Below are 16,498 nucleotides of genomic sequence, written 5' to 3'. Positions count from 1 at the left end.
AGTGATTATCCCCCCTGCAGGAACACCAAATTGAATAACTATCTGTGCAAGAAAGCACCTTCATAAGAACCAAAGGTTAGGTGAGTGATCACAGTAGCTGGCTTAAATACTATATCAAGGAAAGAGACACTAAAGAAGGTAGGAAAGACAGTTTCGCATTGCCTATACCACCCTTCCCCAACCGATGGCATGTATTCAGAAAATCTGTGTGTTCGCAGGAGAGAGAGTGAAGTGATTGTGAGACATTGCATTGGAACTCAATTCTGCCCTCTCACAGCAGAATACAACATAGGGCAAAATTCCACCGGTGTCCACAGATGAAGCATTTAGACTAGCTCCATTCAAAGGGGAATTCTCCACCCCAGTGGTAGGAACCTGAGTTTGGGGTAGCTCCACCATTGGCTGACTAAAGTAGCCTAATGTCCTAGATAAATTTGAATGTCAGTCAGGTAACAAGGTTTGCAGTCCTTGGATAAGTCCTGGCACTGCTCTGGGCTTGGGGCCAGTGGACTTGGGGTACATGAAACCCAGTGAGACACTAGTTGTCACACCCAAGGAAGTGTTTGTGTTACCCCTCCCTAATTCCAGGCATTCAGCTTGGGAAAGACTCCTTAGACTTTGGGAAAGCAGAAGAAAAAGTACAAAGGACTTCATCTTGCAACCTGGGTACCAGCTCAGCCACGGTAAAATAAAGCACCACGCTGGATCCTGAAACCCTTAATTCCAGGTCCTAGCTCCTGGATGGCATCTCTAGACCTACCCTTGGCTAGAAGGGAACCTGCTCCCCTGACAGGAGGGACCCCTTCATGGCTAAATATGCCACCTGATGACTAAAGAGCCCTTGGGCATTGAAGAAACATCACTAGCAGCCAGGAAAGAGTAGCCATGGACCTTGGATAAGACCCAAATACTGTGATGCCTTCAGGTATTATCCAGCACAGTCCTGGCTGTGATAGCTTTGGGAGTGCTTGTGCCATCCCTCCCCCAACTCCAGGAAGCTCAGGAGAGAGAGAGAGAGAGAGAGAGAGAGAGAGAGAGAGGGAGAAACAGACATACAGACAGACTTCTGTTTGGGGAAAGTGAGAAGTGAGGGAAGAGAATCAGAGACTGCTGCCCAGTAATCCAGGGAATTCCCCAGATCTTACCCAAGCCTACCAAGGTGGTACCTCTAGGAGTCTGCAAGAATTACAGCATTACTAGTTCTGCGGTATCTCCCAGTGTTGATATGGCTTCAGTGACCAGAGACTTCGATCACCACACCCAATTCCATTTGAATACCTGGAAACCCTTCTCAAGAAGGATAGGTACAAACAAGCTGAGACTGCAAGCTTAAAATAAATACCTAACTTCTAAATACCCAGATATTAACAAACATCCACAAGCATCAAGAACATCCAGGAAAACATGATCTACTAAACAAACTAAATAAGTCACCAGTGACAAATTCTAGAGTGGTGGAAATAGATGAACTTTCAGAAACAGAATTAAAAATAGTTGTTTGAGAAAGTTCAGTGAGCATCAAGATAACACAGAGAAGGGATTCAAAATCTTATCCCAGAAATTTAACAAGCAGATTGAAATAATTTTTTAAATAATCAAGCAGAAGTTCTGCAGCTGAAAAATTTCTATTGTCAAAATGAAAAATGCTTTCGAATCTCTGAAGAGTAGAATTGATCAAGCAGAAGGAAAAGTTGGTGAGATTGAAGACAGGCTGTATAAAAAACAGCCATGGGGGAAAGAAGAAAAAAATAATAAAGAGAATGAAGCAAACCTATGAGATCTAGAAAACAGTCTCAAAAGGGAAAATGTAAAATGTATTGACCTTAAGGAGGAAATAAAGAAAGAGATCAGGTAAGAAAGTTTATTTAAAGAAATAATAACAGAGACATTTCCAAACCTAGAAAAAATATTATCGGGTAGACGAAGGTCATAGAAAATTAAGCAGATTTAATCCACATAAGACTACTTCAACACATTTAATAATCAAATTCCCAAAGGCTAAGGATAAAGAAAGGATCCTAAATGAAGCAAGAGAAAAGAAACAAGCAACATTGCAAGGGAGCATACATCTGGCAACAACCTTTTCAGTGGAAATCTGACAGTCCAAGATAGAGGTGCATGACATATTTAAAGTGCTGAAGGAAAAAAAAAATGAAACAACTTTTATCCTAGAATAGCATATCCAGGGAAAATAGCCTTCAAACATGAAGGAAAAATAAAACTTTACAAGTCAAATAACAGCTGAGGGATTTCATCAACAGTGGACTTGTCCTAAGAGCAATGCTAAAGAGAGTTCTTTAATCTAAAAGAAAAGGACATTAACAAACAATAAGAAATCTGAAGGTACAAAACTCACTGGTAACAGCAAATACACAGCCAAATACAGAATACTGCAACACTGTAATTGTGGTGTGTAAACCACTCATATCTTGAATAGGAATAGTAAAAGAACTAATCAAAAATAATAACTACAACATATTTCTAAGAAATAGATAGTATAAAAATATATAGAAACAACTAAAAGTCAAAGAACATGGAGGATAAAGTGTAGAGTTTTTTTTTAAGTTTTCTCTTTGCTTGTGCATTGTTTCTGAAATCAGTTAGGTTGTCATTAGTTTAAAATTATTTTTTACAAGATATTATTTGCAAGCTTCATGGTAACCTCGGATCAAAAAACCCACAACAGATACACAGAAAAGTAAAAGCAAGAAATTAGAACATACTACCAGAGAAAATCACTTTTACACAAAGGAAGACAGGAAGGAAGGAGGGAAGAGAAGACCACAAAGTAACCAGAAAACAAATAACAAAATGGGAGGAGTAAGTTCTTACCTATCAATAATAACGTTTACTATAAATGGACTAAACTTTCCAATGAAAAACATAAAGTGGCTAAACTGATAAAAAAAAAAAAAAAAGACCCAATTATATGCTGCCTACAAAACTCACTTCACCTATAGAGTGAAATTAAAGGGATGGAAAAAGATATTCTGTACAAATGTAAACTAAGAAAGAGCAGGAATTAGCTATACCTATATCAGATAGAATAAATTCTAAGATAGGAACTAAAGGAAGAGACAAAGAAGGACATTATATAATGATAAAGGAGTCCATTTGGCAAGAGGATATAACAATTATAAATGTATATGCACCCAACACTAGAGCACCCATATATATAAAACAAATATTATTAAGGCTAAAGAGAAAGAAAGACCACAATACAATACTAGCTGGAGAGCTCAACAACCCATTTTTAGCATTGAACAGATCATCCAGACAGAAAATCAACAAAGAAACATCAGACTTAATCTACACTGTCAACCAAATGGGCCTAATAGATATTATAGAACATTTTATCCAAAAGCTGCAGAATGCACATTCTTTCTTTCAGCACATGGGTCATTCTCAATGATAGACCATATGTTAAAGTACAAAATGAGTCTTAAAACATTCAAAACATTGAAATTATATTAAATATCTTTTCTGACCACTATGGAATAGAACTAAAAATCAATAAGAAGAGGAACTTTGGAAACTATACAAACACATGGAAATTAAACAATATGCTCCTGAGTGACAAGCAGGTCAATGAAGAAATCAGGAAGGAAATTTTAAGATTTTATGAAACAAATGAAAATGGAAACACAACATACATAAACTTATGGGATATAGCAAAAGCAATTGTAAGATGGAAGTATACCAATAAGCACCTGCATTAAAAAGTAGAGAAATTTCAAATAAATAACCTAATGATACATTGTAAGGAACTAGAAAAGCAAAAGCAAAACAAGCAAAAATTAGTAAATCAACAAACTTTTAGCCAGACTGAGAACAAAAGAGAGAAGACACCGCAATATAAAATCAGATGAAAAACGTGACATTACAACTGATATCACAGAAATTCAAAGGATCATTAGAGATACTATCAACAACTATATGCCAAAGAATTGGAAAATCTAGAATAAATAAATTTCTAGACACATACAACCTACCAAGATTCAACCATGAAAAAAATCTGAAACCAAAATAGACCAATAACAAGTAATGAGACAGAAGTCATAATTAAGTCTCCCATCACAGAAAAATTCAAGACCTAATGACTTTACTGATGAATTCTACCAAATATTTAAAGAACTAATACCAATCCTACTCAAACTACTTGAAAAAATCTAGGAGGAAGGAGCACTTCCAAACTCATTTCATGAGGCTAGTATTACCACGATGCCAAAACCGGAGAAAGACACATCAAAAAAGAAAACTATAGGCAAATATCTCTGATGAACATAGATGCAAAAATCCTCAACAAAATACTCACAAACCAAATTCAATAACAAATTAAAAGGATTATTCATCAAGACCAAGTGAGATTCGTCCAGGGATGCACAGATGTCTCAACATACAGAAATCAATCAATGTAATATATCATATTGACCGAATGAAGGATAAAACCATATTTCATTTGATGCTGAAAAGCATTCAATAAAATTCAACATCTCTTCGTGACAAAAATGCTAAAAAATGTGGCATAGAGGGAACATACCTCAACACAATTAAAAGCTATGTATGCTAGACTCCTACACAGTACCAGACTGAAGGGGAAAAATTAAAAGCCTTTTCTCTAAGATATATAACAAGACAAGGATGCCCATTTTTACCACTGCTATTCAATATAGCACTGGAAGTCCTAGCTAGAGTAATTAAATGAGAGAAATAATAAAGGGCATCCAAATTGGAATGAAAGAAGTCAAATTATTCTTGTTCATAGCTGATATGATCTTCTATTTAGAAAAACCTAAAAATTCCACCAAAAAACTATACTAATAGAACTGAAGAATAAATTCAATACAATTGCAGGATACAAAATCAACATACAAAAAGTATTAGCATTTCTAAATGTCAACAATGAACAACCTGAAAAAGAAACCAAGAAAAAAACTCCCATTTACAATAACTACAAATAAAATAATATGCCTAGGAATAAATTTTAATCACAGAAGTAAATGATCTCTTCAATGAAAACGATAAAACATTAGTAAAAGAAATTGAAGAGGGCACAAAAAATGGAAAGATATTTTGTGTTAATAGATTGGAGAAATCAATATTGTTAAAGTGTTCATACTGCTGAAAGCAATCTACACGTTCAGTGAAATCCCTATCAAAATACCAATGACATTCTTCACAGAAATAACAAAGTAATCCTAAAATTTGTATGGAACCAGTATAGACCCAGGATAGCCAAAGCCATCATGGGCAACAAAAAGAACAAAGCTGGAGGAATTGCATTACCTGACTTTAAATTATACTACAGAGCTATAGTATCCAAACCAGTATGGTATTGGAATAAAAACAGACACATAGATCAATGGAACAGAATAGAGAATGCAAAAATAAATCCATACATCTACCATGAACTCAATTTTGACAAAGGTGTGAAGAACATATTTTGGGAAAAGGACAGTCTCTTTAATAAATTGTGCCAGGAAAACTGGATATCCATGTGCAGAAAAATGAAACTACAACCCTATATCTCACCATATACAAAAATAAAATAAAAATGGATTAAAGATTTAAATATAAGACCTGAAACTATGAAACTACTGAAAGAAAACTCTGAAGAAACTCTCTAGGACATTGGTCTGGGCAAAAATTTCTTGAGTAATACCTCAGAAGTGCAGGCAACCAAAGCATAAATAGAAAAATGACATTACATCAAGCTAAAAAGTTCTCCATAGCAAAGGAAATAATCAACAAATGAGACAAATTATACAATGGGAGGAAATATTTTCATGTGATAATAGATTAATAACCCTAATATATAGGGAGCTCAAACAACTCAATGGGAAAAAAAACAAATAATCTGATTTTAAAATGGACAAAAGATCTGAACAGAGATTTCTCAAAAGAAGATGTGTAAATAGCCAATAGATATATGAAAAATACTCAACATTATTAATCATCAAGAAATGCAAATCAAAACAACAGTGGGGTATCATCTCACCCCAGTTAAAATGGCTTTTATCCAAAAGGCAGGAAATAATGAGTTCTGGTGAGGATGTGGAGAAAGGGTAACCCTCATACACTGTTTATGGGAGTATAAATTAGTACATCCACTATGGAGAGGAGTATGGAGATTCCTCAAAAATTAAAAATAGAAATTACCATATGATTGAGCAATCCCATTGCTAGGTATTTATCCAGAAGAAAAGAAATCAGCATATTGAAGAGATACCTACACTCCTGTATTTATTATTTATTCACTTAGCCAAGATTTGGAATCAAAGTGTCCATCAACTGATGAATGGGTAAAGAAAATGTGGTACACATTGGAATATTATTTAGCCACAAAAAAGAATGAACTCCTATCATTTGCAACAACATGGATGGAACTTGAGGTCATTATGTTAAGTGAAAGAAACCTGGCACAGAAAGACAAATTTCACATGTTCTGTGTCATATGTGGCTAAACATTAAAACAGTTGAACTCATGGAGAGAAAAGAGTATAATGATGGCTACCTAAGGCTGGGAAGAGTAGTGGTGATGGAGGGGAAAAGTGGGGATGGTTAATTTATATAAAAGTATAGTTAGATGGAATGAATAAGATCTAGTATTTGATAACACAACAGGGTGACTATAGTCAACAATAATTATTGTATATATCAAAAAACTAAGACTGGAATTGGAATGTGTCTAATACAAAAAAAAAAATAAGTTCCTGAGGTGATGGATATCCCAGTTACCCTGATGTGATCATTAAACATTTTATGCTTGTACCAGAACATCACATGTACCCTATAAATATATATAACTATCATGTACTCATAATTTTTTAAAAAGATAGGTTACAAATGCATATTTTCTACAAAAATTATTCTGTGCATACCTTTCTTTGTTTTGGGAGTGTCATATAAATTGTTTACTATTTCTAAATAAAAGTCAAAAGATGACAAATGTTGGTGATGATGTGGAGAAATGGGAACTCTGTACACTGTTGGTGGGAATGGAGATTGGTACAGCCATTATGGAAAACAGTATGGAGGTCCCTAAAGAAACTGAAGATACAACACTGTATGACCCAGCAATTCCTCTTCTGGGCATATACACAAAGGAAATGAAAGCACAATCTTGTAAAAATATTTGCACTCGTATGACCTTTGCGGTATTATTCACAATAGCCAAGATGGGGAAATAAGTGTTTGTCAGTGGGTGAATGGATAAAGAAACTGTGGTACACACATAATATGGAATAATATTCAGCTTTAAAAAAGAATGAGATCTTTCCACTTGCCATGACATGGAGGAGCCTGGGAGGACATTATGCTAAGTGAAATAAGCCAGACACAGAAAGGAAAATATTGCATAATCTCACATATATGTGGAATCTATCTATCTGTGTGTGTATACATATACACATACTTACCATATACAAAATAAAATTTAAAAAATACACACACAGAATAAAACAGTGGTTACTGAGTTGGGAGGAATGAAGAGATGTAGGCTGGAGGATACAAACTAGCAGATATGTACTATGAAGAAGCCTAAAGAGCTAATGTACACCATGAGGACTGTAGGTAATAACATTGTATTATATATGGGATTCATGCTAAATGAGTAGATTTTAGCTGTTCTTGACACAAAAACAAAAAATGGGTAACTATATGAGAAGTGATAAATATGTTAATTTGCTTCACTATAATAACCTTTTTACTATGTATATATATCTTACATGATGTTGTATACCTTAATTATTCCCAATACAATTTATTTCAAAATAAATTAATTTTGAATCCAAAAAACTATTGTTTATGTGTATGTTTGTAAATACTATTGTTAGTGTAAATCAGATCCTTAGAAACCAAACTATGTTAAAGATCTTGCATTGCAAATTTCATGTTGGACTGCTGATTCTAGCCATATACTTTTTAAAGAGTTTCCATGTGATGCATCTCATTCATTCATTCACTCATTCAAAAATCTCTGTTTAGCATCTGTTATGTTCTAAACACTGGTGAGATTGCCATGGACAAAACATAAGGTTCCTGCTCTCACTGGTAAACTTCAGATAGGGGAGATAGTAAGAGATGAATAGAGAAGATAATTTTGGATTGTGATAATCATATGGAGGAAATAAACTGGGATGATGTAATGGAGAAGGGATGGAAGAGATTCTAATTAGGGGAAATCAGTTTGGGAAGGTCTTGCTGAGGTGGTAACATCTGAGCAGAGCCTTGAATGATGAGAAGGAGCCAGCCATGTGCAAATCCAGGGAAAAACAGTTTCTGGCAGAAGAAACAACAAATTCAAGGCCCGGAGGAAGAATTAGAGTGAAACACTATATTGAGGAACAGGTAACAGGCCAGTGTGCTTTGGGTATGTATTAGTTCGTTTTCAGGCTGCTTATAAAGACATACCCGAGACTGGAAAGAACAAGAGGTTTAATTGGACTTATAGTTCCACTTGGCTGAGGAGGCCTTAGAATCATGGCAGGAGGTGAAAGACACATCTTACATGGTGACAGTATGAGAAAATGAGGAAGAAGCAAAAGCATAAATCCCTGATAAACCCATCAGATCTTGTGAGACTGATTCCATAACACAAGTATAGCATGGGAAAGACCGGCATCCATGATTCAATTACTTCCCGTGGGTCCCTCCCACGACGTGGGAATTCTGGGAGATAGAATTCAAGTTGAGATTTGGGTGGGGACACAACCAAACCATATCAGGGTATAAGAAGGTGGAGTATGGGAATGGCATTTAGCAATACTGCTGAGGTTATTTATATTGACTTGAAAGCAAAATTTTATTTTTGACCATTATAGCTTTTTAGATTTGTGGCTTGCACACAACTATTTGGATTTCTGGAATCCACTCAACCCACAGCATTGTATAATAGGAAAAATTGAGCCTCATAAGAAATGTAGTTAATGTTCAACAAAGTTTATGTAAACTTTGATTTGTTAGGGACACAATTTTTATTGAATGTTTACATTATAACCTACCATTTATATAAAATTTCAAAGGTTGTTTAGATTTTGATGATGATAATAACTGGGAGAGCTACATGGCTATCATTTAACTATGTTCCAACTCACATGAGAAAAACTGACATAAAATTTAGGTCCATACAATTGAATATCATGATTAAAAGATGGGTTAAAACTAAAAATTAATTCATTTCATTAGCAATTATTGGTTCACTCAAAATTTTGCTTGTTTAGTTTTTATATTTTTTTGTAAGGATACACATTTAACTTGAACAGAATACATAGACTCCTGCTTTTCATGAATTATTTTCGGGATCCATTACTGTCCTGATTTTTTTAATGATAGAAACTCTGAAAAATTCAGTCTTTTTTCAGTTGATCCTAATTTCTTACTTACCTCTGGAGAGTTTGGAAATGAGGGCAGGCATTTTGCCATGACCTGCCTGCAGTCTATTTATTTTACTAAGCTAACAAGCTTTGCAGATGTCATTTGTGTGCCTGCTGTTCTGGGTATATGGGGAACAGATAGACAGGGATAGGAGGCCAGGTGGGTGGATTTCTTGTTATTTCCTTTGGACCTAATCTTTCTAATGTGGAGTCCATTCCTTCTGGGGTTATTCCCAAGGCCCTTATAAGCTATGGAAGGTGTCAGATAGGAACCCAGAGATGAACCTATCTTTTTAGGAGGATCACAGGTTGTTTATAGTTCATCTGCATGGAGTCCAGGCTACCTTTGGCTAAGGAGAAGGCCTTTTGTATCTGTTTGTGCCATACTCTCAGTTTGGACCCAGAGGGACAGAAACGATTTCAGGATTTGCAGTGTGATGAGACGGAAATAACATAGACCACTCTCTGTGTTGGGGTCACCTAGGTTTTGTGTCACGGCAGGTCATAGAACCTCAAGCAACTTCAGTTTCCTTAACTATAAAATAGGGATTATAATTATTTCCTAAAGGGTATTATGACCATGAGATAATAGTTACAAAGTATTTACCCCAGTACTTCAGATAATAGCCACTTGATAAATTACTATTATTATTAACATGCTTATATTTATTACTGTTTTTCTAACACAATAGCAAGCACCTAGTTTCAGTAGCATCCTGTACTTGTAACACTTCAGCTAGAAATTGCCCTTCTCCATTATAGATAAGACTGTTCTAAACCATACCTTCTTACATCAGACTGGATTTTCCAATGAAAATATTTTTATTTGCAAATACCTTCAGCTACATGCACCAATATATTTATTTTTAAATTTTTATGTATGCACATATGTATATATGTATATAATTAATATAAATATATGGTTCTCATATGAATAAGGGATCATAAGTTTAAATAGATTTTTTAAAAACTATCAAAAAATAGCATAACTAGAGCTGTGATTATTCTTTCATTCCACTAATATTGATTTTGTGCCTCTTAAGTGCCAGTACCATATTAGGTGCCAGATATATACATTAAATCTGCCCTCAAGGGGCTTAGATTCTAGAATAGACACTGACTGGACTTCACTTCTAAACATATTTTTCCCTGTTGGAAACAAACAAAATAAAAGTAATAATGGATTTAAGTGGTTAAGGTACAGGTTTAGTGCAAGTAATTTACAAGAGTAATTTTATGATATCAAACTTTCAATGATAGGTTTTACTAAGAATCAATATATTTCTAGTTTTAGATCATTAACCTCAAGGAATATCAAGTAAAGCAGCTTGCAGGCTGAGGCTTTTTATCTTGCCAAAGACTTCTTGTGAAAATCACAGGCCCAACTGAGCACTGTGTCTGTTAAAAAAAAAAATGCTTCATGTCAATACCTTGTTAATTATAAAAACAACATAATGTTTCCCTTGAGGCAAAGGAGTGAATTATCCTCTATCATCTTTATATCTGAGGAAAATCAATCAAAGATAAGGTATACACAAAGTGGAAAACCCAAATGGGTCTACACTTCAAAATGTTATGTACTTATATCTAAACCTACATACATTATCCAGTTAATCACTTGAGGCGAATACAAACAAATGAATATATAACATACATATTGTACATGCATTTACAGTATACTTGTACTCAAAGTTATATGAGCAATGCTCTTCTTTCTCAAATAAAGATTGCATATTCAGTTTGTAAAATGCTTGCTGTAAAATGCTTGCTCTGAAGCACTTTTATTGGATGTATTTATTAAACTGATTGTATAAAGGTATAACATATTGCTGATTCATTCCTTTTTCAAATACAATAGAGTGCACGCAATTCTCTTTTCTCCTAACTTCTAGTTAACTCCTATGGTTCTTCCTCATCTTAGCTCAAGGCCCCTCTCCAGAAAGCTTTCCCTCACTGCTCCATTCTGGGTTAAATGCCTCTATTTTGTAGACGTAAAACACTCCCAAATGCTTTCTGTACGGTATTATAGTTTTTTATTCTCTTGTGGGCAGGGATTTTGCTAGCTTTTCCTCACTTTGTGTTTCCACATAAGTAGATTCTCAAGTATATTTGTTGAATGAATGAGACACTAGTCTAGGCAATGGAAATAAAGAGTTAAAACTATCTTTAAGGAGTGCATTTTAGAGGGTGATATAGACATTAATCAAATAATCACATAATGAGTGCTCAACAAACATGTGTCAGGTGAATGACTTAGGGACTGCCTAAGGTATTCTAGAACCTATGCTAGACAAGCTGTGTTTTATTTCTGCAAGTCTCTATAGTTTACAAAGTGCTTTCCTCTGTGATCCACCAACGTTAGAAGACTAATCAGGCTCCCTTTGCTAATTTTTCTCTAAGTGTCTGCCTCTCTGCAAAGATGGAATGAAGTTCCGAAGGTATCATCTTCCAGGATACCTTGTGAAAATACTCATCTTACTCTGCTATCCAATTTATTTACTTCCTCTGTCTAACCCCTGATTGTCTCCATTCTGACTGTCTCTATGACTAACAAAGACCTGGACTTGGAATTAAGGGACGTGGTCTTTAATGTTGCTATTGAAAGTTACTAGGCTTTTAGGAAGTCATTTAAACTTCCCAAGCCTGTGAGACTGTTACAAGTTCTTTGTCAACTTTAAGGTGCTATAGGGACACAAAGACTAATTATTTTGAACATGAATATGGCAGTAAGTCTCAATTACCTATTAGATGTTAGTTGTGCCAGGGAAACACGCTGGTACATAAAGATATAAGGTTTTACGCACCCTTAGATAAGCTTAGGAAGTATTGAGTTAAAATAATTATTGTGATGATGTAACAAATGAGGGTGAATAGACAAACTGGTGTTTCTTTGACCTTTTCAAATTACTGAACCATAAGACAGAGTTACCTAATGGAATGGACCAGAGCATGGATTTTATTGGTGGTGTTTAACTTGAAACTTACTTGAAATTTCTTACATCAGTAGGATAGCAGTTCAGAAGAAATTATATTTTTTAACTATAAATATTTTTTGAGCCACTTTTGAAGGTTTTTATATCAAATTGAACTTTAGGAGCTTGTCTTTTCTTCTTTTTTTCCTCAGAACACGTATTTGATTTGCTATGAACTTAAAATCTTTATGAACAGTGCTCTCATTTGGGTAAAATAATGACATGTCAGTTTCTGAGACATTCATTTATTTAGCAATCAGGAGGTTATTGGGATATTGAGGTTAGAACCTCAATAATTCATGAAAAGTAGAAGTCTTACATATTATTTATATTATTTTTTTCCAAATTGTTTATCATAGAAAGTATACTTTTTTTTTTTTTTTTTTTTTTTTTGAGACGGAGTCTCGCTCTGTTGCCCAGGCTGGAGTGCAGTGGCGGGATCTCGGCTCACTGCAAGCTCCGCCTCCCGGGTTCACGCCATTCTCCTGCCTCAGCCTCCCAAGTAGCTGGGACTACAGGCGCCCGCCACTACGCCCGGCTAATTTTTTGTATTTTTAGTAGAGACGGGGTTTCACCGTTTTAGCCGGGATGGTCTCGATCTCCTGACCTCGTGATCCGCCCGCCTCGGCCTCCCAAGAAAGTATACTTTTTATGAAAAAAAAAAAAGAGGGTGGTGGTTAGTAGTGGGGTGGGAAATGGTCCTGCCAGTATCCTGAGGAGATAAAGTGTATGGGTCCCTAGACATTTATTTTTGATATTTCAATGGTCCAGTTGACTATGTATTTTCTTCCTAGTGAAAGCGAATCATTGATTTTCGATTTTTATTGGTCAGGCAGTGCTTTCCATTCTGTCATTCACTCTCTCTCACTCTCCCTCACTCTCCCTCACTCTCCCTCATTCTCCCTTCCCACCCCCTCTCTCCTTTCTGAGCTCCTGTGTCTGTTTTTCTGTTTCAGTCTGTGACTGCCTGTGTGTCTAAGATGATGGGAAAAAAAAGTATATTATTATCCAGAGTGATGCTTGTCAAGCACCTCAAAGGCCGTCTATGTAGTAGCAGCTTTACTAGAAGAAAGGGAGGGATTTGGGGGAGGGGAGAGTGCTAATCATTTGGCTGTTAAAATGCTGCAGAAGGCAACACAAAGCTCTGCCCACTTAATAAGTGCCTGCAGACAGCAAGTGAGGAGGGAAAAGTTTGGGAAAGAACTCATTTTTTCACTCAGAATGTGGAAGTTTTGTAAACACTTTAGAACCTCCTCCCACCCCAATTTCATAATATTCATTTATATGTTCAGGTTGTTTGTGTATTTGCATATGTCATGGACCACACACATAGGTAAACACAAAAAAGGAGAAATGTAACCCTTTTCTATAAGTTAAACCTCCAAATCCGCAGTTTCCTTATGTCACTGGCTTGATTTTCCTTATCCAGCTGTTAGTCATTTGTAAGAAGCTGCCCTTGTAATTGCAAGTGAGTTGAGATGTGATGTATGCAGTACCACATGCACCTTAGCTTTTCAGTCATATCTTTCGAGTCATTTAGACTCCCGGCAATCATGCTCATAATAAATAGCATTTTATTATCCAAAGCCGCTATTCTGGCACTGGAACGACAGCCATTTGGTAGATGGGACGGGTAGTTTTTTGTGTTACTCAGTGTTAGTAAGAAAGGAAGGCAACAAAGGGGGGACTTTGGCAAAGAAAATATTATGAGTATACTGAAGCAGCACATCAGAATTCAGAAACAAGAGCAAGAGCTGAAATGTGATTCCCTGGTGCTTGGTGTTACACTCATCGCAACGATAGAACTGTGCGGGGCACTCACAGGAGCCTTGTTCCAATCAAGGAATCCGCTAAAAGACCATGCAGCCACGGAGCCCAGGAAGCCACCGGGAAGTTTTGCCGGAGCTGATTTCTAGGGGATTTTCTGGTGCCTAGCAGAATCCTGCTTGCCTTGAGCTGTATGGAGGAGGGCTCGAGTTTCCCATGAGGGGCCCCCTTGGAAAAGCCGTCTGTACAGAATCCAAGCTCTGCTTCTTTCTGTGTGCAATTTCCAAAAGGCTTTTCTCACCTTTGCTGATTTGCTGGTGTGATTTCCATGTACTGAGTCCTGTGTAGGGATCCAGGATGGATTGCCTGTGCATTGTCACCACAAAGGTAGGATAGGAAACAGGGCTGTTATTGTGTGCAGCATTTTTCTATTATTATTCTGGTCCCGTAATTAAACAGTTCTAGTAGGTGCTGCCAGTTCATGAGAGAAAATGATTAGTATAATTTACTTTGCTGGGCATTTTGTTCCCTGAGGGTCTGGGGGGTCCTGTCTTTATGTGATTTTAACTTCTTAAAGTGATATTGCATGTTTGTGCAAATGGAAGGAGAATTTGCCTGTTTTTTTGTTTTTTGTTTTTTTTTTATGGCAGGATTTGCTTTTGCATCTATTTATAGCTCATAATAGAAATATCTATAGTAGTAGTGTAGCACATACACATCAGTTTAACTTAACATATCAGGGCAGTCTTTCTGAGTGTGATAATTAGCTTTTCATTTAAAAACCATGTCTTCTGTGTTTGAAGAAGCCAATCAGCTTTACTGTGACTTGACATATTGCTTCTGATTGGAGAATTCTGATATTCTGCATTTTAGTGATTTATTTTAAAGGAAAAAAATCTCAAGGCCCTGAGTTAAAACAAACACAATATTTAATATTTAGCTAATTCTATTTTAATTATACACAAATATTTGCATTATTGGAAGTATAAATAAAAGTGGGAATGAAATAAAATCAATAGGCAATCGTTTTATGGATTTGTTTTACAGAAAATAGCAAAACATTTCAAAAGCATTTTATTTTATTCTGTCATCAGTTCTAAATAATGTATTTAAATTTTATAATCACTGATTATTTGAATAGATATTCCTAATATTTTTGGGAAAAACTAATTATAGACATTTATTCATTAGTTCCCTTTTCATTTTGCATGTAAGCATACCATGAGTTAATTTGAACCATATCTTTTTGTATCTCACGTTGATTAGATGACTATTAAACATAACAAAATTAATAGCTTAGTACATGAGAGTTAACTAAGTGTAGATGTCCCATTGTGATCTCCTTTTACCACTGAAGAAAAGATTATTTAATTTCAAAGCCACAAACCAAGTTCCCCATAGTATGACCTTAAATATATTACTTTTACAAATGAAGCCCCAGAAAATCATAATGGATATCTTCCCATATGGCCTAATATCACATGGCAGCTTCAGTTGATGTTAGTGGATTTAAAGCCTAAAACTTCTAGTTGAGTTAGTTGACTAGGCCTCTAAATTAGATGAATACCTTATTTTACTTTTAAAAATTGCCAAACATCTCATGCAGTATTCCAGTTAAATCAGTAAATCAACTAAAATAAATTTTAAAAAATCTTAAGTAGGAAATTGTATGTCCTTATGTAATCTACTAAAGGAAATATCCTCTTAAATATGTTACTCTTCCTGAGGTGTTACCCTTGTGTTACTTTTCTTGAGACAATACTACCAAATCTGATCTACTTGTGTTTTATGATTATTTATTCCCAAATTATAATAATTTTAGATACTGTGAAACATAATTAATATTGTAAAAATAAGTTATCAAAAGTTATTAATGAGAACCCAAACTAGAAGTCTACTATATTATACAAATTAAATCAATACCGAAATCCAAGTGCCTTCAATTTGGAAAACATTATCTAATAAAAAATGTCATATGCCTTATATTTACTTATAAAAATATTATTGACTACAGGTACATAGGTGATACATATTATTATTTTGCTTTAAATTCTTAATAAGAGATAAATGTCATTACTCCAGTATTGTGATTTATCATATAAATTATACGAATCAACAAAACACAGACCCACATGAAATTTCATTTTCTTAGTTATATCCACGAACATTTCTAGAGTGATGTATATAACATCTTTAAAGAACAAACATACAGCAAAGTTACATTGTAATATTTAAATGGTAAATAATGCATGATTGCTTCAAAAGCTGGACATAGGTGAAGAGACCTCTTAGAGGACTTTAGACTGCAAATCTTATCTATTTAGTCTACCACTGTTGATACTTTACTGTTTTTCCCCAAGTGGCCATGCACTTGGGATGCCCTTG

The 16,498-nt window shown here is 35.2% G+C and overlaps 1 protein-coding gene across 21 annotated transcripts in view; it reads left to right on the top strand.

Moving 5' to 3' along the window:
• The window catches only part of DLG2 (discs large MAGUK scaffold protein 2), a 2,173,362-nt gene that overhangs the window by 481,106 nt on the left and 1,675,758 nt on the right, over positions 1–16,498 (top strand). For 8 of the 21 annotated variants that reach the window (XM_017017285.2, XM_017017276.2, XM_017017269.2 and 5 more), the window contains exon 1: positions 14,131–14,500. The exons of the other annotated variants lie outside the window; for them this stretch is intronic. In XM_017017285.2, the coding sequence (XP_016872774.1) occupies positions 14,471–14,500 (30 nt within the window). In that variant the 5' untranslated portion in view covers positions 14,131–14,470. Of the gene's footprint in view, positions 1–14,130; positions 14,501–16,498 lie in introns of those variants that run through there. 21 annotated transcript variants of the gene reach the window in all.

The sequence above is a fragment of the Homo sapiens genome, chromosome 11 (assembly GCF_000001405.40).
Source record: "Homo sapiens chromosome 11, GRCh38.p14 Primary Assembly".
Lineage (NCBI taxonomy): Eukaryota > Metazoa > Chordata > Mammalia > Primates > Hominidae > Homo > Homo sapiens.
The sequence above is the reverse complement of the archived record's forward strand: the minus strand, read 5'-3'. Positions and strand labels throughout refer to the sequence as shown.